At 41.9% G+C, this 22420-nt stretch overlaps 1 protein-coding gene across 4 annotated transcripts, besides 5 other annotated features; it reads left to right on the top strand.

Annotated features, from left to right (window-relative positions):
• Positions 323-1052: an enhancer, noted in NCBI's record as "active region_9554". NCBI's record gives its function as "activates an Ori minimal core promoter by ATAC-STARR-seq in GM12878 lymphoblastoid cells {active_cell/tissue: GM12878}" and the evidence as "EXISTENCE:reporter gene assay evidence [ECO:0000049][PMID:35858748]".
• Positions 735-22008, top strand: CIAO2A (cytosolic iron-sulfur assembly component 2A). Of its 4 annotated transcripts, NR_110310.2 has the most exons (6): positions 735-928; positions 4258-4375; positions 5722-5886; positions 13422-13471; positions 19036-19081; positions 21545-22008. NR_110310.2 is itself a non-coding variant. In NM_032231.7 (5 exons), exons 1-5 carry the CDS (start codon positions 805-807, stop codon positions 21640-21642), a joined length of 483 nt encoding a protein of 160 aa, NP_115607.1. In that variant the 5' UTR covers positions 735-804; the 3' UTR covers positions 21643-22008. The 4 variants fall into 4 exon arrangements, 3 of the variants coding, with proteins under 3 accessions (NP_115607.1, NP_001014812.1, NP_001276037.1); NM_032231.7 differs by lacking the exon at positions 4258-4375; NM_001014812.3 differs by lacking the exons at positions 4258-4375; positions 13422-13471.
• Positions 1098-1660: an enhancer, noted in NCBI's record as "H3K27ac hESC enhancer chr15:64385112-64385674 (GRCh37/hg19 assembly coordinates)". NCBI's record gives its function as "activates a minimal SCP1, AML or CMV promoter by ChIP-STARR-seq in primed H9 embryonic stem cells {active_cell/tissue: H9 hESC(primed)}" and the evidence as "EXISTENCE:reporter gene assay evidence [ECO:0000049][PMID:30033119]".
• Positions 1413-1462: an enhancer, noted in NCBI's record as "active region_9553". NCBI's record gives its function as "activates an Ori minimal core promoter by ATAC-STARR-seq in GM12878 lymphoblastoid cells {active_cell/tissue: GM12878}" and the evidence as "EXISTENCE:reporter gene assay evidence [ECO:0000049][PMID:35858748]".
• Positions 4984-5033: an enhancer, noted in NCBI's record as "active region_9552". NCBI's record gives its function as "activates an Ori minimal core promoter by ATAC-STARR-seq in GM12878 lymphoblastoid cells {active_cell/tissue: GM12878}" and the evidence as "EXISTENCE:reporter gene assay evidence [ECO:0000049][PMID:35858748]".
• Positions 5084-5143: an enhancer, noted in NCBI's record as "active region_9551". NCBI's record gives its function as "activates an Ori minimal core promoter by ATAC-STARR-seq in GM12878 lymphoblastoid cells {active_cell/tissue: GM12878}" and the evidence as "EXISTENCE:reporter gene assay evidence [ECO:0000049][PMID:35858748]".
• Positions 22009-22420: the final 412 nt, after the last annotated feature.

The raw sequence follows: 22420 nt of genomic DNA, 5'->3' as shown, positions 1-22420 counted from the left end.
CCTCGGCCTCCCAAAGTGCTGGGATTATAGGCGTGAGCCATCGCGCCCGGCCAAGATACACTTTTAAGGATGGCGATCTCCATTATGTCACCACTGTACACATTAGACACGGGAAAACTTATGTTCTAAGTTGTCTTTGGAGGCCATTAGCAGAAATATTCGTTCAAAGGTGGGAAGCTGTGCTGGACTGAGTCCCTTAGGAGACGAGAAAGCCAAAAAGCCCTCCCCATGCCATACCTGACTACCTCACTGGCTTCCCATGACATCCCTTTTCACAGCAACTGAAACCTACTTCCTGTCCGATCAGGAAGTAAGAAAGACGTTGGCTGTCAGCGGATCCCGCGGAGAAATAATTGTAAAGAGTCTCCGTGCTGGAGAACTCAAGATCTCCTTTCCCCTACCCCTTCAGGATTCATCTTTAACTTATCACGGATACTGAGTGAGTCAGTCGCGGTTAACAGACCGTTACATCCACTTCTACCAGGCGGACACTACAAGTCCCAGAATACAATTCGCTGCCTTCCGAAGAAAATAGCTCACGCATCCCAGCATGCAATGTGCTGACGAGCCGCGAAGATTGTTTTTGTCCCGCCGAAATCGAGCAAAGCACGCTGGAACTTGTAGTCCTTGAGGCCCCTTCCCTAGGTCCTTCGAGCTACTCCGTCTGGCCCCGCCTTTTCTCTGCTCTCCTGAACCTTTAGGCTTGTCTCGGCCCATTTGAAGACCAGGAAGTTGATCAATCCCGAGGCTGCTGAGAGACGGTGGCGCGATTGGGACAGTCGCCAGGGATGGCTGAGCGTGAAGATGCAGCGGGTGTCCGGGCTGCTCTCCTGGACGCTGAGCAGAGTCCTGTGGCTCTCCGGCCTCTCTGAGCCGGGAGCTGCCCGGCAGCCCCGGATCATGGAAGAGAAAGCGCTAGAAGTTTATGGTAATTAATTTTACCCAGCACAGCATTTGGCGTTATAGGTGCAGGCCGGAGCTGAGGGGTGCGGGGATGATGGCCTCACCTGAGGGCTGGGAGGGGAGACCTTTTTTTTTGTTTGTTTGTTTGTTTGTTTTTGGCCAGATCTTGTCCGGGGCGTAGCAGGCGCTTTCTTCGGGGTCCTAAGTCACGTGGGGGGTGTGGGTCTTTCTGGGAACTGGGCTCTTCGTAAACCTGGGGCAAGCCGAACCCAGAGGTCTTAAAAGCTTCATTCTCCACGTGTGGCCTACGTCTTAGTAACCATTCCAAGACTTGTGGGGAGACCACAAGTCTAGGGTGCCTGGTTAGGAAGCAAAGCTGGCCTGATTGCACTACTAGAGCCTCGTTCTCTAGCTCCTGGACACGCACTCTTGCTACCGCTGAGGGCGCTTGTGGGTGACAGTCGAGTTGGGGACTGGCCCAAGGTCACAGCCACTCTATCCGGCAAAGTCAGTAAGCAGAGGTCCCCGAAAGAAGAGAACGAGATTGGCTTCTTGTAGCAAGGCCTTGTGTACACACACATAACGCACACACACACATACACACTCTTCCATGTTGCATATTAAATATTTTCTGTTTAACCCTTGGGGCCATCTTTATTGTACAAATGAGGAAACAAAGGTTAAAGAACTACCTGGAGGTCACACTGCCAGTAAGGAACAGAGCCAAAAAGCAAAGGCTGTGCCTACTGGTTCTAACCGTAATGCACTTTCCACCACTTCACAATTGCCTTACAACTTTTTGTTTGTTTGTTTTTTTAATTATGTTGTATTGTTTTTGAAAACCGAAAAGACTGGATATAATATTGAGAGATCTAACCATAGAATACAAATATAATTCAAGTAAGGATTATAGGCCAGTAGAAGGAAGCCAGGGTTAGGAAATACTCTGGGAGCTAATTTGGTTGACCTCTCTTACTAGAGGCAGGACTTACCTAATCAGCCTCCAGGCAGATGATAATTGTGAGTAAAATGATCTCCACAAAGCAGACCACATCCCTGTCCTGCCAGATCTCTGTCCACATAATCTAGGGATGGTAGGGCACTGGAGATACAACTTTGGAAGAGAGTGACTCTAGTCTTCAAACTGATATTGAAGGAAACCCATATATGCAAAAATAGAGTATGTAATAGAAGGCTGTAGACTGAATAAGAGATACAGAAATTCAGAGAAAGGGAGATACTAGTCTCTGACTGAGGGGATCTAGAAAGACTTTGAAATAAAGAGAAGGAGCCACTTGAGTTGGGCCTCAAAGAATAATTAGGATCTAGATATGTAGAGGGTCAGAGGGCATACTAAGAGGAAACTTAAAAGCATGGAGGTAAGAAGATAGGAAATGACAGATAGATGGGGCTATAGGATAGGGTTTGTGGTTAAATGTGAAGATGTGGTTGAACATTGTTCTAGGTAGTGGGATGCAGTTGGATACTGAAGGTTTTAAATATAAATGAAGAATTTTAATAGTGCAGTGCTGTGGAAGAATGTTAGTGTGGGGAGTAATATGAGGAGAACTTTCTTTTAAATTTTTTTTTTTTTTTTTTTTTTTTTGAGACAGGGTCTCACTCTGGTAATCAGGCTGGAGTGCAGTGGTGCAATCACTGCTCACTGCAGCCTCCATCCACCTCCAGGGCTCAAGCCATCCTCCCACCTCAGCCTCCTGACTGACTGGGACCATAGGCATGCACCACCATGCCCAGCTAATTTTTGTATTTTTTTGTAGAGATGAGGTTTTGCTATGTTACCCAGGCTGGTCTTGGACTCCTGAGCTCAAGTGATTTGCCTGTCTCGGCCTCCCAAAGGCTGGGATTACAGGCATGAGCCACCACACCCGGCCCTTCTTTCTTTTTAAAGAAGTAAAGCCAAACCTCTCAAATCTAGAAACTAGAAAACTAGAGAAATTTAATAAGGATGATATTTAATTTCAGGGTTTAGTGGCATATAAAGAATATAATACAATTAAATGAGCCTTATGGGGAGAAAGCCTAGTATGAGAGGCAGAAAATTCCTTTTCAGAAAACTCTGTTTCCCTAAGTCCCATGATAACACAGCTCTGTGAAAGAGAAGCTTTGTCGACTTTCTTGCCTATGTTTTCCAATTCTGCTTCTTTCTTTCTTTTTTTTTTTTTTTTGAGACAGAGTCTCTTCTGTCACCCAGGCTAGAGTGCAGTGACACAATTTTGGCCCACTGCAGCCTCAGCCTCCTGGGTTCAAGTGATTCTCCTACCTCAGCCTCCTGAGTAGCTGTGATTACAGGCACATGCCACCACACCCGGCTCATTTTTGTATTTTTAGTAGAGACGGGTTTTTGCCATGTTGGCCAGGCTGGTCTTGAACTCCTGAACTCAGGTGGGTGATCCACTTGCCTCAGCCTCCCAAAGTGCTGGGATTACAGGCATGAGCCGTCATGTTTGGCAAAATTCTGTTTCTAATCAAGTGACAAGCCCAGGAGCAAATTAAAGAGAAAATAGAATTTGTTCTTGTTTTTCCCAGTTGCATTTCTGATTACATATAATTTTGTGTGATAAATAATAAAACAAAACTTCAGATTTGAGAACCTCAAGCACATTCTATGTAAAATTCTGCTTCTTTCCTTTCTACCTCACCATTTCTCTTTATTGTTCTCCTTTCCTTCATCTCTTTCTCCAGCCTCAGAGTAAGAAAGAAATCTTGTCTTCTCCAAGGCCAACTGAGACTTCTAAATATTTGATCCCACTCCCTTCTGCTTATTTTACCAGTCTCCGCTCCTCCCAACTTATATTTTCAATTTCTCTCCTCAAAGTTGCCCTTATCCTTGTCATTGTTCTAGCTTCCTTATAAAGTCATTGTCCTTTTCATGTCCCTCCCTTCCCAGCTAAGGCCCTAGGAAGACATTTTCAGTTCCTACTTGCTTCCCCTTTTGCAAGCTGGCTTCAGCGCACGCACTCTCTACTGAAACTGCTTTCTTACAGCTGGCTGGGGTGACAAATGAAAGACCTGTTTTAGCTCTCATGAGCCTGAATTTTTCTGCAGCATTTAATGTTATTAACCATCCCTCTCTTCCCTCCTCTAGTTCTTTTTGCTTTTGTTTCTCATTCTGATCCCTAAGTTAGGTGCTTCGCATGGATCTGTTGGGTCTCTTTTTTCTTTATACCACTGATTCTCATACTGGGTTGTACCTAAGAACAACCCGAGAAATTTTTAAAACTCAAAGGCCAGCAAACCAATTAAATCAGAGTCTCTGGAATTGGGGCCCAGGCATCAGGTTTTTTTGTTTGTTTGTTTTTGTTTTTGAGACGGAGTTTTTGCTCTGTTGCCCAGGTTGGAATGCAATGGCGGGATCTCGGCTCACTGCAACCTCTGCCTTCTGGTTTCAAGTGATTCTCCTGCCTCAGTCTCCTAAGTAGCTGGGATTACAGGCGCCCGGCACCACGCCTGGGTAATTTTTGTATTTTTAGTAGAGACGAGGTTTTACCATGTTCACCAGGCTGGTCTCGAACTCTTGACCTCAGGCGATCCACCCGCCTCAGCCTCCCAAAGTGCTAGGATTATAGGCCTGAACCACGCGCCCGGCCTTGTTGTTTGTTTTGAAACATTCTTGGTAATTCCAATGTTCAGCCAAGGTTCTACTTATTCTTTGTGAATCCTGTGGGTTTGACAACCACTCTAGCTTTGATGCTGTTTTAAACTCTATGCTACAGTTTACCACTTGCTAGAAAACTCCATTGGATAACCCCTTAAGCACCTCAAAATCATTCTGTGTGAAATTGAACTCATTTGCTCTATGCCCCACCCAAATTTCTTCCTCGTTCTGTTTCTTTTAGTTCTGCCAGTGTTGTCCTAGATACTATTTTAGGCCTGGTGTTTTTAGCTGGTATCATTGGTTCTGCTTTTTAGTCTGAGTCTAGCAGCTGATGATGAGTTACCAGCTGACAGCACAGTGTTGTCCATGTCACTTGTCTCAAACCTCTTGAGGACTTGCTATTGCCGGTAGCTGGCTGTAAAAGACACTTGATGGTCAGACCCAAATCTCATACTCTAAAACACCTTTCACTTATGCCTGCTTCCAGGCAAACTAGGGTTCTTCTTCTTTACTTTACTTTCCTTCACTTTTTTTTTTTTTTTGAGACAGGGTCTCGCTTTGTTGCCCAGCCTAGAGTGCGGTGACACGATCTCCGCTCTCAACCTCTGCCTCCTGGGCTCAAGCGATCCTCCTGAGTGGCTGGGACCACAGGCCTGCACCACTACACCCGGCTAATTTTTGTGTGTATTTTTTGTAGAGACGGGGGTCTCATTATGTTGCTGAGGCTGGTCTCGAACTTCTGAGCTCAAGTGATCCTCCCGCCTTTGCCTCTCAAAGTGGTTGGTTTACAGGTGTGAGCCACCATGCCCAGCTACTTTCCTTCACTTTAAATGTCAAATATTGAAATGTTACCTATTTTTCAAGGCTTGATTCAGATTCCGCTCCTATAAAGCCTGATAACCACATTCTTTCAAGCTGAAAGTTATTTCTTCCTCTTGAGCTTCCATGACACTGTTTCCATTCTTATTATATTTTCTCTGCAATGTCCGATTGGAGAAACTGGATATGGTCTTATAATAATCCAAGAAAACAGTTTTCTCAAGAGGAAACCAGTAGTGAAAATTTCTGTCAGAAACCTGGGAGTTGCTGTACTATTTGCTTAAACGTAAGAGAAGTCAGTGCTTAAATTAGGCCTGGCAAAATCATCTTTATTTAGAATAGTCATGTTTTAATAGAATATCTTATCTCTGATGATTCTTTAGATTTGATTAGAACTATCCGGGACCCAGAAAAGCCCAATACTTTAGAAGAACTGGAAGTGGTCTCGGAAAGTTGTGTGGAAGTTCAGGAGATAAATGAAGAAGAATATCTGGTTATTATCAGGTTCACGCCAACAGTACCTCATTGCTCTTTGGCGACTCTTATTGGTAAGTTTTTCTGTACATACATGTATATTTATATAAATTCTAAGTTATTCTTGCTGATATTGACCCATAATAACAATTTGCATCATTGTTGAAAAACCATACAGTGTATGTATTACACTTTATGGTTTACAGAGTATGTTCGTGTATTCATCTTCTGTAGTCCTCACAATTAGCTTGTTGAGTTAAAATATTATTATCTTCATTTTGCAGATGAGGAACCTGAAGCTCAGAGAGTTTAAGTGACTTGCACAGAATCAGGTAGCCAGGAAATGGTGAAACTAAGGCTCATACCCAGGTCTCCTGACTCCACTTCTCCTTTAGTTATGTCAGGCTGCCCCTCCCAGGTATATATGCCCACAATTAATGGAGAGTGCATGTGGGCCAGTGCTTTTCCTCAGTTCTGGAGGTTGGAGTGGGTGGTGTCAGACTAGCATTGCTTCCATCACCATCTCCTTTCAGTGACTCTTCTGGTTTCTACATAGTATGGGTAGAAGTCCTGGTAGGAGGTTGGATTCCCAGTATTTTGGATTTGTTAGCAGGTACAATAAATGTATTTGAACATATGCTTTGTTATAAAGGGATTTTATTTCAAACCAAATGTTCATGAGTAGGGGATTGATTAAATAATCATTGATGGTGAATATAAACAGTGGAATACTATGCAGCTATAAAAAAGAATGAAGAAGCTCTGCATGTACTGATATGGAGAGATCTCTATGACATACTGTTAAGAAATAAAAGCAAGTATCATTTTGCTATCATTTGTGTAAAAAAAGCAAAAACATACATTTGTATTTGATTGCATATGCCTGAATAATATTAATACATAAATGAATAGCTATAAGGGTGTTAGCGGGTAATAGTGGTGGTGGGAGCTGGGCAGATGGGGGAAAGGGTGGGAGGGAGACTTTATACCTTTTTATGTTTTTACATTTTCAAACCATGGGACTATCTCACCTATTAAAAAGCAACAAGTTTATAAAAAAGATTGAAAAGGTCGCTATTTCGTTATTATTTCCACTATTGTGATTTCTGTCTTTTCTCACTGGTTGACCTGGGTTCCCTCTGCTGGTGGTTTCCACCATATAGGCCACATCTTGAGGGACTGGAGGTCTGTGAATCCATAGGTATTATTGTGGTTATTAAAATCCCATTGGTGACCGGGCGTGGTGGCTCACACCTGTAATCCCAGCACTTTGGGAGGCCAAGGTGGGTAGATCACTTGAGGTCAGGAGTTTGAGACAAGCCTGACCAACATGGTGAAACCCCATCTCCACTAAAAAAAATACAAAATTAGGCCGGGCGCGGTGGCTTACGCCTGTAATCCCAGCACTTTAGGTGGCCGAGGCGGGCAGATCACGAGGTCAGGAGATGGAGACCATCCTGGGTAACATGGTGAAACCCTGTCTCTACTAAAACTATAAAAAATTAGCCAGGCATGGTGACGGGTGCCTGTAGTCCCAGCTACTCAGGAGGCTGAGGCAGGAGAATGGCGTGAACCCGGGAAGCGGAGTTTGCAGTGAGCCGAGATTGCACCACTGCACTCCAGCCTGGGCATCAGAGCGAGACTCTTATCTCCCAAAAAAAAAAAAAAAAAAAAAAGCAAAATTAGCAAGGCATGGTGGCACACACCTGTAATCCCAGCTACTTGAGAGGCTGAGGCAGGAGAATTACTTGAACCTGGGAGGCAGAGGTTGCAGTGAGCTGAGATCATGCCATTGCACACCAACCTGGGCAACAAGAGCAAAAACTTCATCTCAAAAAAAAAAAATTCCCATTGGCATGGCGGCTCACACCTGTAATCCCAGCACTTTGGGAGGCCAAGGCAGTGGATCACTTGAGGTCAGAAGTTCAAGACCAGCCTGGCCAACATGGTGAAACCCCATCTCTACTAAAAATACAAAAATTAGCTGGGCATGGTGGCACGCACCTGTAATCCCGGCTACTCGGGAGGCTGAGGCAGGAGAATCGCTTGAACATGGGAGGTGGAGGTTGCAGTGAGCTGAGATTGCGCCACTGCACTCCAGCCTAAGCAACAGAGTAAGACTCTGTCTCAAAAAAAAAAAAAAAAATCCCATTGCTAGAAAAAGCATTACTGAATGCTGAATGCATGGTTATTTTTGGTCATTGGACAATTTGTGAACGAACAGATACTGAAAGTACTGCTGTGGGTGTTGTGGAGGGGGTGTCTTAAAATATTTTGACATATAAGAAAGAGTTCTTAAATGGAGAGTTCAAGAACCTATAGCAAATTTATTTATTTATTTATTTTTTGAGCTGGAGTTTAACTCTTGTCACCCAGGCTGGAGCGCAATGGTGCAATCTTGGCTTACTGCAACCTCCGCCTGCCAGGTTCAAGCGATTCTCTTGCCTCAGCCTCCCAAGTAGCTGCAATTACAGGCGCCCGCCACCATGCCTGGCTAATTTTTTTTGTATTTTTAGTAGAGATGGGGTTTCACTATGTTGGCCAGGCTGGTCTCGAACTTCCAATATCAGGTGATCTGCCCACCTCGGCCTCCCAAAGTGCTGGGATTACAGGTGTGAGCCACCACTCCCAGCCAGCAAATTCATTTTTAAAATTAACATTTATTTAAATTATATGAGTAACATGTTTATTGGCAGTAATTTTGATACCCCACAAAAACATAAAGAAAAAAACCAGCTATTATGAAAGAATGTCACTGGGTGCAGTGGCTCACTCTTGTAATCCCAGCACTTTGGGAGGCCGAGGCGGGCAGATCATGAGGTCAGGAGTTTGAGACCAGCCTGGCCAACGTAGTGAAACCCTGTCTCTACCAAAAATGCAAAAAATTAGCTGGGCGTGGTGGCGGGCGCCTGTAATCCCAGCTACGTGGGAGGCTGAGGCAGGAGAATCGCTTGAACCCGGGAGGCGGAGGTTGCAGTGAGCGAAGGTCACGCCACTGCACTCCAGCCCAGGCTACAGTGCGAGACTCCGTCTCAAAAAAAAAAAAGAATATATGCTCTGGGCTAAAATTCCAGGTCTATTGGCTGTACCGTATTGTGGGCTTCGGCAAGTTACTTAACCTTTCCAAGACCCAGTTTCCTTATCTGTAAAACAGGAATAATAAGGATATCTATAGAGTCGTAAGAGTTAAGTAATAGCATGAAATACATGAATTATTTTTCTCATTAAATATTTCTTTTTTTAAATTTTTTTTGTTGTTGAGACAGGGTCTCACTCTGTCACCCAGGCTGGAATGCAATGACACGATCTCGGCTCACTGCAGGCAGCCTCCACCTCCCGGGCTCAAGTGATCCTCCCACCTCAGTCTCCTGAAAAGTTAGAACTTCAGGCAGGTGCCACTATGCCTGGCTAGTTTTGCCATGTTGCCCAGGCTGGTCTCAAATTCCTGGGCTCATGCCTCAGCCTCCCCAAGTGCTGGGATTACAGGCATGAGCCACCATACCTGGCCATCATTAAATATTCTTTAATTATATAGTTATAGGTTACATGCTAATCATATTGGTACATCAGAAGTTTTGTAACCATTTGGACTACTTCTAGCCTTTTGCAATTATAAATAATACTGTGATGAGCAACTTTATTTTATTTTATTTTATTTTATTTTATTTTATTTTATTTTTTGAGACAGAGTCTCACTTTATTGGCCAGGCTGGAGTGTAGTGGCCACTGGAGCTTCCACCTCCCAGGTTCAAGTGATTCTCCGCTTCAGCCTCCCGAGTAGCTAGGATTACAGGCATCCTCCACCAAGCCCAGCTAATTTTTGTATTTTTAGTAGAGACGGGGTTTCACCATGTTGGCCAGGCTGGTCTCGAACTTGTGACCTCAAGTGATCTGCCCTCTTTGGCCTACCAAAGTGCTGGGATTACAGGTGTGAGCCACCGCGCCTGACCGAACAACTTTATATATAAATATTTTTATTTATTTATTTTTTGAGACGGAGTTTCACTCTTGTTGCCCAGGCTGGAGTGCAATGGCATGATCTTGGTTCACCACAACCTCCACCTCCCAGGTTCAAGCGATTCTCCTGCCTCAGCCTCCCAAGCAGCTGGGATTACAGACATGCACCACCACACCTGGCTAATTTTGTATTTTTAATAGAGATGTGGTTTCTCTATGTTGGTCAGGCTGGTCTCTAACTCCCAACCTCAGGTGATCCGCCTGCCTTGGCCTCCCAAAGTGCTGGAATTAGAGGGGTGAGCCTCCGTGCCTGGCCTTATATAAATATTTTTATATATCTCATTATTGCATCAGGATAAATTCCTATACGTGGAATAATTGGGTTAGATTATGTAAGTATTTTGAAGCCTCATGGTATATATTGGTAAATCCCTATCTGGAAGTTTATACTGTTTGACGCAGGAGTTAAGGAACTAATTTTATAGAAGAAAATATTCGCCAGACGTGGTGGCCCACACCTGTAATTGTAACACTTTGGGAGGCCGAGGCGAGAGGATCACTGGAGCCTAGGAGTTTGAAACCAGCAATCTCTTAAAAAAGAAAAAAAACATGAAAAAGCTTGAATAAGTTCAAATTGCATCATGATTGCAGTTATAGAAAAATGTGTACGTGGACAAATATCAGGAGAGTGCATGAAATAAAAACTGTTCTGTAAGGGTGCTAACATTAGATTATAGTTGATATTTCAGATCTGTACACTTCCTGTAGAAAGTTTTGTCTTAGCCCTTTCGTTATGCATTTCAGCTAAGACCATTGGCTTTTTATTTTTTATTTTTATTTTATTTTATTTTATTTTTTTTTGAGACAGAGTCTTGCTCTGTTGCCCAGGTTGGAAAGCAGTGGTGCTGTCTTGGCTTACTGCAACCTCTGCCTCCTGGGTTCAAGCGATTCTCGTGCCTCGGCCTCCAAGTAGCTGGGATCATAGGCGCGTGCCACCATGCCCAACTAATTTTTTGTATTTTCAATAGAGACGGGGTTTCTCCATGTTACCCAGGCTAGTCTCAAACTCCTAGCCTCAAGTGATCCGCCCACCTCGGCCTCCCAAAGTGCTGGGATTACAAGTGTGAGCTGCCACACCCGGCCTATTGGTTTTTTAGAGAATTGTATAATAGTGTATCATAGTAGTTTTGTTCAGTCAACACAGCTGGAAAACTTGAGAGAAGCCTTCGTCTGTCTGATGTGTTAACAGATATTCCTCCAGAGCAGGTAGTCCTAGCCTGGAAAGGTGCCTGAGTAAGAGTATCACCTACTCAATGTTACCTTGGTAAGTGATTGACAAGGAAGACTCCAAGGGAACAAGAGGGTAAGGCAGGGAAACAAGTTGATAATCATTTGTGGTGACTTATTCCAGATAAGAATGGCTGAAGGCAGCTGTGGTCCAATGGGAACGGTCTTAGGGTTTGGAGGTCAGAAGGTGTAGGTTTGGGTTCTACCTCTGCCACTTGTTAGCTAAGTAATGTTAAATCACCTACCTTGGTTTCTTGGCTGTAAAATGAAAATTATAAAATAGTATAAAATAGTAATATTTTATACTATTATTTTTTACTATTTATAGTAATTATTTTTATACTATTATTGTACACTTATGTGTCAGGTACTGTTTTAAACACATTGCATAACAGGTTATTCCTCATAGCAACCCTATATATTGTGATATTATTATATATATTTTTAAGTTTTATTATTATTATTATTATTATTACTTTTAGAGATGGGGTCTTGCTACGTTGCCCAGGCTGGTCTTGAACTCCTGGGCTCAAGCAGTCCTCCCGCCTTGGCTTCCCAAAGTGCTGGGATTACAGGCATGAGCCACCTTGCCCAGCTGATACTATAATGCCTGTTTTGCAGATAAGGAAACTGAAGCTCAGAGAGGTTAAGTAACTTATGCAGGATCACAGCGAGTATGTAGTGAAGCTACTTTTGAAACCCAAAGTATCTCAGTTATGCTGTACTACCTCTCTTGAGGATAATGATGCTCAAAAAAGTGCTTTGCGAATTGTAAAACACCTACCAATAGTGACTAAAATACGTGAGGATATTCAGACAGTACACAGATAACAAATTAAGGAGACAATGGTGGGGCCAGGGGAAGAGGAACTCTCCCAGATATGCTTTAAGGCAGATCCTCTGAAGAGAGACCCTCTTAAGGAAATAATATATTTTCTTTAGAATTCTCTAATATTTATTATAGAACTACTGTGTTCAAGACTCTATAAGGTCGGGCGCGGTGGCTCATGCCTATAATACCAGCACTTTGGGAGGCCGAGGCGGGCAGATCACTTGAGGTCAGAAGTTCAAGACCAGCCTGGCCAACATGATGAAACCTTGTCTCTACTAAAAATACAAAAATTAGTGGGTGTGGTAGCGTGCTTCTGTAGTCCCAGCTACTCAGGAGGCCGAGACAGGAGAATCTCTTGAACCCAGGAGGTAGAGGTTGCAGTGAGCTGAGATCTCGCCACTGTACTCCAGCCTGGGCAATAGAGCAAGACTCTGTCTCAAAAAAATAAATAAGTAAATAAAGACCCTGTGGCAGGCACCACCTCATTATATCTCATCTAATCCTTTTCCCTGTTTTGGGATTTTTCAAAAAATTCTCTTAGAAAACCAAATGGTACTTAGAAAACCAAAACCAAGTTACTACCTCCCTAAAAGATAGGTAGTCTAACAATTATATCTTGCTGTATTGCTGTATGGTTTGAGGTTTTGTTGATGTGTCTTAGCATGGGATGATAAACTGAACTTCAGTGGAACTTGTTTTAAAGAAGTTACTGTATTTGTACCTTGCAGGCATAAAGGATTACAAATTTGAGAGATTTTATGTGGCCCTTTTAAAATGGCTTTGACTTGTTTTATTTTTTTGCGTGTCCTGGCCTGTTGTGGGGCATTTTAAAAAGTTAATTGAATTGGCCGGGTGGGGTGGCTCATGCCTGTAATCCTAGCACTTTGGAAGGCTAAGGCAGGCGGATCACTTGAGGTAAAGAGTTTGAGACCAGCCTGGCCAACATGGTGAAACCCCATCTGTACCAAAAATATATAAAAATTAACTGGGTGTGGTGGTGTGCGCCTGTAATCCCAGCTACTTGGGAGGCTGAGGCAGGAGAATTGCTTGAACCGAGAGGCGGAGGTTGCAGTGAGCCGAGATCATGCCACTGCACTCCAGCCTGGGCGACAGTTCAAGACTCCGTCTCAAAAAAAAAAAAAAAAAAAAGGCTTAATGAGTTAATTGACTTTTGCTGGAAGGCCAACTGATGTAGTAAAAATGGCCTGGGCTTTCCAGTGGTCATAGGTTCCAATCCCAATTCTGCCACTGTTGTAACTCAGTGACCTTGAGGAAGTTACGTTGTGACTTTGGTTTAATAATTTGTAGAAGGGGATTAGTAATAGCTTATTGGATTATCCTAAGGAATATGTAAGATTATATATTAAATTTCCTAGCGTGGTGCCAGCCTCAAAGGAGCTCTGCTCTGGATTGAGCCAAAGCTGTTTTCAGCAACTGTGTTGTATGGGGGCACATAAACGCAGTTGTATGCTTTTTCAAGAACCAATAAGAAGCAATAAAGAGATAATTGGAGGTGTGATTTTCCCTCCACAGGGCTGTGCTTAAGAGTAAAACTTCAGCGATGTTTACCATTTAAACATAAGGTAAGAAAGATGTATTTTTGTTGTTGTTGTTGTTGTAAAACAGCTTTGTTGAGATATAATTCACATACCACACAATTCACGTATTTAAAGTGTACCAATTCAGTGGTTTTTGCTTGTCTGTTACTCAGTTGATGGACATTTAGGTTGTTTCTACTTTTTGTCTATTATGAGTAATGCTGCTATGAACATTCATGTATAAGTTTTTGTGTAGGCATATATTTTCATTTCTTTTCCACCTGTGAGTGGAATCGCCCGGTCCTATGGTAACTCTGTGTTTAACATTTTGAGGAATTGTTTGTTTTCCACAGTGGCTGCACCATTCTGCGTTCCCACTTCTCCACATCCTTGCTAACATTTATTATTATCTTTGATTACAGGCATTCTAGTGGGTGTGAAGTGATGGTTTTTTGTTTTTGTTTTTTGAATCAGAGTCTCACTGTCACCCAGGCTGGAGTTCAGTGGCGCCATCTCAGCTTACTGCAACCTCTGCCTCTCAGGTTCAAGCGATTCTCCTGCCTCAGCCTCCCGAGTAGCTGGGACTACAGGTGCCCACCACCACGCCCAGCTAATTTTTTGTATTTTTAGTAGAGACGGGGTTTCACCATATTGGTCAGGCTGGTCTTGAACTCCTGACCTCATGATCCACCCGCCTCGGCCTCTCAAAGTGCTGGGATTACAGGCATGAGCCACTGTGCCTGGCCTTGTTTTTGTTTTTGAGACAAAGTCTTGCCCTGTCGCCAGGCTGGAGTGCAGTGGTGCAATCTCGGCTCACTGCAACCTCCGCCTCCAGGGTTCAAGCGATTCTCGTGCTTCAGCCTCCCAGGCAGTTTGGATTATAGGCATGTACCACCATTCCCGGCTAATTTTTTTTTATTTTTAGTAGAGACAGGGTTTCACCATGTTGGCCAGGCTGGTCTTGAACTCTTGGCCTCAAGTGATCCACTGCCTCGGCCTCCCAAAGTGCTGGGATTATAGGCATGAGCCACTGCACCCTGCTGTCATGGTGGTTGTGATTTTTATTTCTCTGATGGCTAATAATGTTGAGAACCTTTTCATGTGGTTTTTGGCCATTTGTGTATCTTTGGAGAGCTGTCTATTCAGATCCTTTGCCCATTTTAAAATAAGGATGTCTTTTTATTATTGAATTATAAGAGTTCTTTATATAGTCTAAATACAAGTCCCTTGTCAGATATGATTGGCAAATATGTTCTCCCATTCTGTGTGTTGTCTTTTCACTTTCTTGATGGTGTCCTTTACAGTACAAAAGTTTTAAATTTTCATAAAGTCTAATTTGTTTTTAATTTTTTAACTTGTGCTTTTGGTGTGATAATCTGAGGAAGATGTTTTTAACCCTACTATTGAGCAAGAATATGGATATCACAGTTAATTCATAGTAATTGGTTATCGCTCGTGAATGATTCGGCCTTGTCTCTTACTGCCTCTTGTAATTGCTGGGCAATTATGCCTTCTCTACCTGGCTGCTACCTAGCCTTTACACAGAGTACCCTGTCTACTTGGAGTTCCCTTCCTCCCATCTCATATGTTCAAATCCTACACATCTTTTTTGTTTGCTGTTGAGACAGGGTCTTGCTCTGTCTCCCAGGCTGGAGTGCAGTGGTGTGATCACTGCTTACTGCAGCCTCTATCTCCGAGGCTCAGCCTCCCAAGTAGCTAGGACTACAGGCGTGCACTGCCATGCCTGGCTAATTTTTTCTTAATTTTTGGTAGAGATGAGGTCTCTCTTTGTTGCCCAAGCTAGTCTCAAACTCCTGGGCTCAAGTGATCATCTTGCCTTGGCCTCTCAAAGTGTTGGGATTATAGGCATGAACCACTGGGCCTGGCCAAATCCTACCCACGTTTTAAGGCCCAGTGAAATACTATTTTATTTTCCATGATATCAGTCCTGATTTCTTTCTTCTTTTTAAGATGAATTTTTATTTATCTTTTAAATTTTTTTTTTTATTTTTTGTATTCACCTTTCCATACTACTAGTCCTGATTTCTGTAACTAAAGCTATTTCTTTTTTTGAATTGCCGTGGCTCTTTCTTTTTGTTTTTTTTAAAGACAGGGTCTCACCCTGTTGCCCAAGCTGGAATATAGTGGTATGATTACAGCTCACTGAACCTTTGATCTCCCAGGCTCAAGTGAGCCTCCCTCCTTACCCTCCCAAGTAGCTGGAACCACAGGTATATGCCACCATGCCCAGCTAATTTTATTTTTTGTAGTGACAGAGTCTCACTATGTTGCCCAAGCTGTTCGTGAACTCCTGGGCTCAAGCAGTCCTCCCGCCTTGGTTTCCCAAAGTGTTTCGGATTACAGGCGTGAGCCACTGCACCCAGCCCCGTGGCTCTTTCTTTGTCTTCTGATGTAGAGAGTGTCCTTTTCTAACTTGTGTTCTGTTTGTTTTTCATCTTCCCTCCTGGACTGTCAACTTCTCTCTCTTTTCTTTTTTTTTTTTTTTTGTTTGCGATGGAATCTCGCTCTGTCGCCCAGGCTGGAGGGCAGTGGTGCGATCTCGGCCCAGTGCAGCCTCTGACTCCTGGGTTCAAGCGATTATCCTGCCTCAGCCTCCCAAATAGCTGGGATTACAGGCGCATACCACCACACCCAGCTAAATTTTTGTATTTTTAGTAGAGACAGGGTTTTGCCATGTTGGCCAGTTTGGTCTTGAACTCCTGACTTCAGGTGATACACCCGCCTTAGCCTCCCAAAGTGCTGGGATCACAGGCATGAGCCACCATGCCTGACCAGCTAGCTGTCAGCTTCTTGAAGTCAAGATTCATATATGATACATCTCTGTGTTCCTGCTATGATCTTATACATATTTGGAGCTCAATAAATACGTCTTAAATTGAGTAAATTAATAAATTATTATACTAGTGGTTTATGATGCCCTGTAAATTTTATTTTTCATTTTTAACTGTTTTAATTACAATGTTTAACTTTTTATTTGAAATGAAAATAATGAAAGAAAAGAAATAAAATAGTGAAGAATAGTACAAAGAAATTCCATATATCCTTCACCCAGATTCAGATTCACTAATTGTTAACATTTTGCCACATTTGGTTTATCATTAATTTCTCTCTATATATGTACACACACATACACATATTTTCTGGAAATGTTTGAGTGCATTTGTAATGCCCCCTTACTCTAAATACTATAGGATGTATTTCCTGAAAACAAGGACATTCTCTTACATTACCACAGTATAAATTTCTAAACCAGGACATTGATACAGTACTGTCATCTCATCTACAGCACGTATTCCAATGGGTAACATCCTTCATGGCGGTCCCTCCTCCTGGCTCTGCTCCTCTCCCCCATCATACATTGCATTAGTTGCCATGTCTCTTTAGTCTCATTTAATTTAGAGTAGTTCCTTAGCCTTTATTTCATGATCTTGATATTTTTGAAGAATGTAAACCAGATATTTTATAGATTGTCCCTCAAATTGAGTTTTCTGATGTTTCCTGGTTAGATTCAGTTTGTGCATTTTTGGCAAGAATACTGAATAAATGTGTTCTCATTGCATCACATCAGAGGCCTATAAATTCAGTTTGTCCCATTATTGGTAACAGCTCCCCTCATCAATTGGTTACCCTGAAGTATAGTTCATATAGGAATAGCTGCATAAATGCTGCCTTTTCCCCTTTATCACTTTTAGAATAATGAGTCCTGTGTAATTTTAAACTGAAGTAAGTCAGTATAGAGTGATTCTATACCTGTTGCTTTGAGGTCTAGAATAAGAGTGTTTTGCTACTAGGAGAAAGGTGTTTTGTTTTGTTTTGTTTTGTTTTGTTGAGACGGAGTCTCGCTCTGTCACCCAGGCTGGAGTGCAGTGGCGCAGTCTCAGCTCACTGTAACCTCCACCTCCCGGGTTCAAGGGATTCTCCTGCCTCAGCCTCCTGAGTAGCTGGTAATACACGCCCGGCTAATTTTTTGTATTTTTAGTAGAGTTGGGGTTTTACTGTGTTAGCCAGGATGGTCTCGATCTCCTGACCTCGTGATCCGCCTGCCTCGGCCTCCCAAATTGCTGGGATTACAGGCATGAGCCACCACGCCCGGCTTGTTTTGTTTTTTAAAAAAAATTGGGGCCAGGTGCAGTGGCTCACGCCTATAATCTCTGTACTTTGGGAGGCCTAGATGGGCGGATCACTTAACCTCAGGAATTCAAGACCAGCTTGGGCAATATGGCGATACGCGGTCTCTACAAAAAAATAGAGACGAGGGAGGAGAGGGGTGGGAGTGTGGGAGCTGAGGTGGGAGGATCACCTGAGCCCAGGAAGTCGAGGCTGTAGTGAGACATGATCGCGCCACTGCACTCCAGCCTAGGCGACAGAGTAAGACCTGTCTCAAAAAAAAAAAAAAAAAAAAGATTGGACTAGATGACCTTTAAGGTCCCTTTTAACTATAATAAGTTATGATTTTTCTCACTCATGAGAAATGTTTATCTCCGTAGTAAATAAGTAAATAAAAATTAGTTCATATGTTCCAGTGTTCTCTGGAAAGTAGACGTCTTTATTACAGCATACTCTCTTTACCACAGGATTTGCAATAATTTTGTAGGTTGTCTTAAAAGCTCTGGGTCTTGGAGGGTAGCTCATGTCTATAGGTGCAGCAGGGCCAGGAGGGATAGCTTAACCAGTATTATACTTGAGAATAAATTTAGCATGATAATAATGAATGAGAAAAGAAGGATGCTGAAAACTATATTGTGATCCCATTTTTGTAAAACAAGCAATGTGAAGAAACTTCCAACCCTGATATGTGGGTGTGTGTGTGTGTAAAATCTGTGTAAGATTATGTGGGTAAAGAGAAGAATATGGAAGAAACCACACTAGATTGTTATTGTAGATTTCCTGAGTCAGTAGCAGGGCAGGAGGAAGTTTAGATACCGAGTTGGGAAGAAGTAGAGTGCAGAAAAGAGATATTCTTAAGTAAAACCACACATATGAGATCTCATTTGTGTAAAATGATATTTTTGTGTATTCATAAAAAAATTAATGGAAATACCACCTGCAGGCCTTTTCCAGGTGAACAAAATAAAAAATCCTACTCATTTCAGTCCTTTTTTTTTTTAGAGAAGGATGTGGGGGATTTGTCCCTATGTCTCTGATGTTAGAAACAGGATTTGGGGGGCGCTGGGCGCAGTGGCTCACGCCTGTAATCCCAACACTTTGGGAAGCCGAGGCGGATCACCTGAGGTCAGGAGTTTGAGACCAGTCTGGCCAACATGGCGAAACCCCATCTCTACTAAAAAAAAAAAATAATAATACAAAACTTAGCTGGGTGTGGTGGCGTCTGCCTGTAATTCCAGCTATTGGGAGGCTGAGGTAGGAGAATTGCTTGAACCCAGGAGGCGGAGGTTGCAGTGAGCCGAGATCATGCCACTGCACTCCAGCCTGGGCAACAGGGTGAGACTCCATCTCAAAAAAAAAAAAAAAGAAACAGGATTTGGGCACTCATCCCTAGATGTTTGAATTTACTGTACATTCCACTTCACTCTCTTATCTTAGAATGCATTAATGTTTTTTCTTTTACTTTTTTTCCCACTTTCCAGTTGGAAATCTACATTTCTGAAGGAACCCACTCAACAGAAGAAGACAGTAAGTGAATGTTGAAACATAATTGAAAAACAACTTCAGATAGTATTTTATCTTGGATACTGGATTCTTCTGCCAGCCAAGAATCTACTGGGTTACTTTCAAAAAAGTGCACAATTGGTTATTGGCTCTTCCTTCCTAGGTGAGGAAACCTAGGCATTTCAAAGAAGTAATTTTTGCAGTGGACTCCGAGTGCACTAGAGCCCACGGATGTTGACTGGTTTAGGCCAGTGGCTACACATCTGTAAAGAATATCCAGTGCTGGGGACCTTGACTTATGAGCTCTAAGTAGGCTTCTTTTCTTTGGTGACAGGATAGAGAGCTGTGTACTTGAAATTGAAGGTCTAGCAAGTAGAGCTTTAGTGAATCTTGGGGTAGGTGCTGTCTCTCTGGGTTAGTATATTAGAATGGGAGTGGGGAACCTTTTTTATATAGAGGACCTCTGGCCTACAGAGAGAAATCAATCAGTAGCTACTTAAAAATAGCAGAAGTGGGGTTTGGGAAAAGCAAAAAACAAAATGTTCTGTATGATCCCTGTGTTACATTAAAAACATAATTTTAATGTTTTTAATCTACAAATGATAGAGTGCAAATAATGAGAAATACATTTAAAAGGCATGTTGTACTTAAGTTTCATCACTAAGTAAATTGAGAAGGTGGGAAAAAATAGCAGAGGAATGGAAGAAAGAGCTAATAGAGGAAGAGCAACAGTGAGATAGATACCAAGAAGACTCAGAAAGGCATACACAGGGCTGGAGAGAGACACACAAAATCTCCTACATAAAAGAGAGCTATAGAGAGGGAAGCCTGCTGCTTCCAGAGGAACAGCCTATCCAGGAAACTTTTTAGGTACTGTCATGAAAACTGTTAAAAACCATGCCCTATTTATAGTTCTAGACATGTAGATTATTATACTCTTTGTGGGCTGAATTTCTTTAAACCCCACGAGCTGAGGGCTTCTACCTGTAATTTAGAAAAATAAGAGTTTAGGTACCCTAAATCCACTCAGGTTATCGTTTTGAAATTCCTTGAATGATAGGATTTTACAGCAGCAATAGTATTAAGTCTTATGAGTCTTGTTTTTCATTTAGTAAGTATTTATTAAGTGCCTTCTATGTGTGGGTACAGTTCAGCCTTTGAGATACATTCCTGCCTTTGTGGAGCCTACATTGTAGTAGGAAGAAACCAAATTGAAAGTATTTTCGCAGGAATATGTGTATGTTTGTGTGTCTTCTACATGAGACATTTCAGCGGCAGCCCAGAAAACTCAATCCACATTAAGAATATAGTCGTCTCTCTTTTGAACTCTTCTATTAAGAATGCTGTTAGCTAATTACAGAAAACATAATGGGCCAATACCTTTATTATATGAAGATCCATTCAAACTAATTTTAAAAAAAGATCTAGTAGATTAATAGAGACATGAACAGGAAATTCATGCAAGAAGAACTAATATATGCACATGGAAAATGTTCTATTTTCCTATTAGTCAAGGAAATGCAAATTATGACAATAATATTGAGCCGTTTTCCATCTCCTGTTTTATGTATGTATATATGTGTATTTGTTTTTATTAAATAATACCAGCTATTGCCCGGGCATGGTGGTTCACACCTGTAACCCTAGCACTTTGGGAGGCCAAGGCGAGAGAATGCCTTGAGGGAAGGAGTTTGAGGCCAGGATTTCAAGACTAGCCTGGGCAACATGGTGAGACCCTGTCTCTACGAAAATATTTGAAAATTAGCCAGGTGTGGTGGTTCATGCCTGTGGGAGGCTGAGGTAGGAGGATCTCTTGAGCCCAGGAGTTGGAGGTTACAGTGAGCTATGATTGCACCACTGCACTCCAGCCTGGATGACAGAGCAGGACCCTGTCTCAAAGAATAATAATAACAATGATAATAATACCAGGTATTGTTGCCAAACTGATAGCTCATGTATTGGTGTTGACAATATAAACTGGTGAGTAATTTTAGGAAGTAAATCAATGATATGAATCACACCATAAAAATATTCATACTCTTAAAAATAATCCCATTTTTGAGAATATTTCCAAAAAGAAGGCTATATGTTTAAAGGTATTCATTGTAGCATAGTCTTCATAATTACTTTAGAACACTTAAGACTTTTACCATGTTAAATAACCCTGTAGTTTAAAATATAGGCTTATGGGGGAAAAAATAGCAATTTTCAAAATTATATTTACTCTGAATGTAACTGTATAAAAATATGTGTATGGACAAAGACTGGAAAGAAAAAAATAGATGTGGTTAAGTAGTAGAATTCTAGTAGATATTTTTCTCTTAAGTCTGCCTTCTAGATGGGAAATTACATTATGAGTAATTAGCCAAAAACAGGTTTAAGTTCTCAAGGAGTTAAAGTTTTTGTTTCAGCAGGCTAATAAAAATACTGTCTGGTGCTGTATATTGACACAGTTCTTCTGCTAACTTTTGTCTGTGTATTTTTCAGTCAATAAGCAGATAAATGACAAAGAGCGAGTGGCAGCTGCAATGGAAAACCCCAACTTACGGGAAATTGTGGAACAGTGTGTCCTTGAACCTGACTGATAGCTGTTTTAAGAGCCACTGGCCTGTAATTGTTTGATATATTTGTTTAAACTCTTTGTATAATGTCAGAGACTCATGTTTAATACATAGGTGATTTGTACCTCAGAGTATTTTTTAAAGGATTCTTTCCAAGCGAGATTTAATTATAAGGTAGTACCTAATTTGTTCAATGTATAACATTCTCAGGATTTGTAACACTTAAATGATCAGACAGAATAATATTTTCTAGTTATTATGTGCAAGATGAGTTGCTATTTTTCTGATGCTCATTCTGATACAACTATTTTTCGTGTCAAATATCTACTGTGCCCAAATGTACTCAATTTAAATCATTACTCTGTAAAATAAATAAGCAGATGATTCTTATAATGACTCACTGTTTTTATTGAATTGTAAATTCCAGTGTAAATGTCAACTCCTAAAGGATATCTTCAAAGCTTTATTTTTGCTGATTATTTTGTAGAATCAGAGATCTGAGAACCAAAAGGAACCCTTAAGATTGGGCCTTCCTTCCTTCCAAGGAGAGTCCTGGACCCTTTCATAGATAAGGAACAAATGTGGAGAAGGCTAGATGGCATACACAATTTTGAAGATCAAGAAGTCCACCAAAGAAGTTTTGATTAAACCAACCTAAATGTATGGTCCGCACTTTATCTGTCCTTCATTTGGTTTGTTTTAGGGGTTAATGGTCATGTGAAGTATAGTAGCCTCCAACATGGCCCCCAAGATCCTCACTTCCTGGTATTCATGCCCTTGTATAGTTAACTTCCATATTGAA

The sequence above is a fragment of the Homo sapiens genome, chromosome 15 (assembly GCF_000001405.40).
Source record: "Homo sapiens chromosome 15, GRCh38.p14 Primary Assembly".
Classification (NCBI taxonomy): Eukaryota; Metazoa; Chordata; class Mammalia; order Primates; family Hominidae; genus Homo; species Homo sapiens.
The sequence above is the reverse complement of the archived record's forward strand: the minus strand, read 5'-3'. Positions and strand labels throughout refer to the sequence as shown.

Coding starts and splice junctions, on each gene's coding strand:
- CIAO2A (NM_032231.7), top strand. CDS start 805: ATGCAGCGGGTGTCCGGGCTGCTCTCCTGGACGCTGAGCAGAGTCCTG. Junction 929..5,721: donor GAAAGCGCTAGAAGTTTATG/GTAATTAATTTT, acceptor ATGATTCTTTAG/ATTTGATTAGAACTATCCGG. Junction 13,472..19,035: donor GTTTACCATTTAAACATAAG/GTAAGAAAGATG, acceptor CCCACTTTCCAG/TTGGAAATCTACATTTCTGA.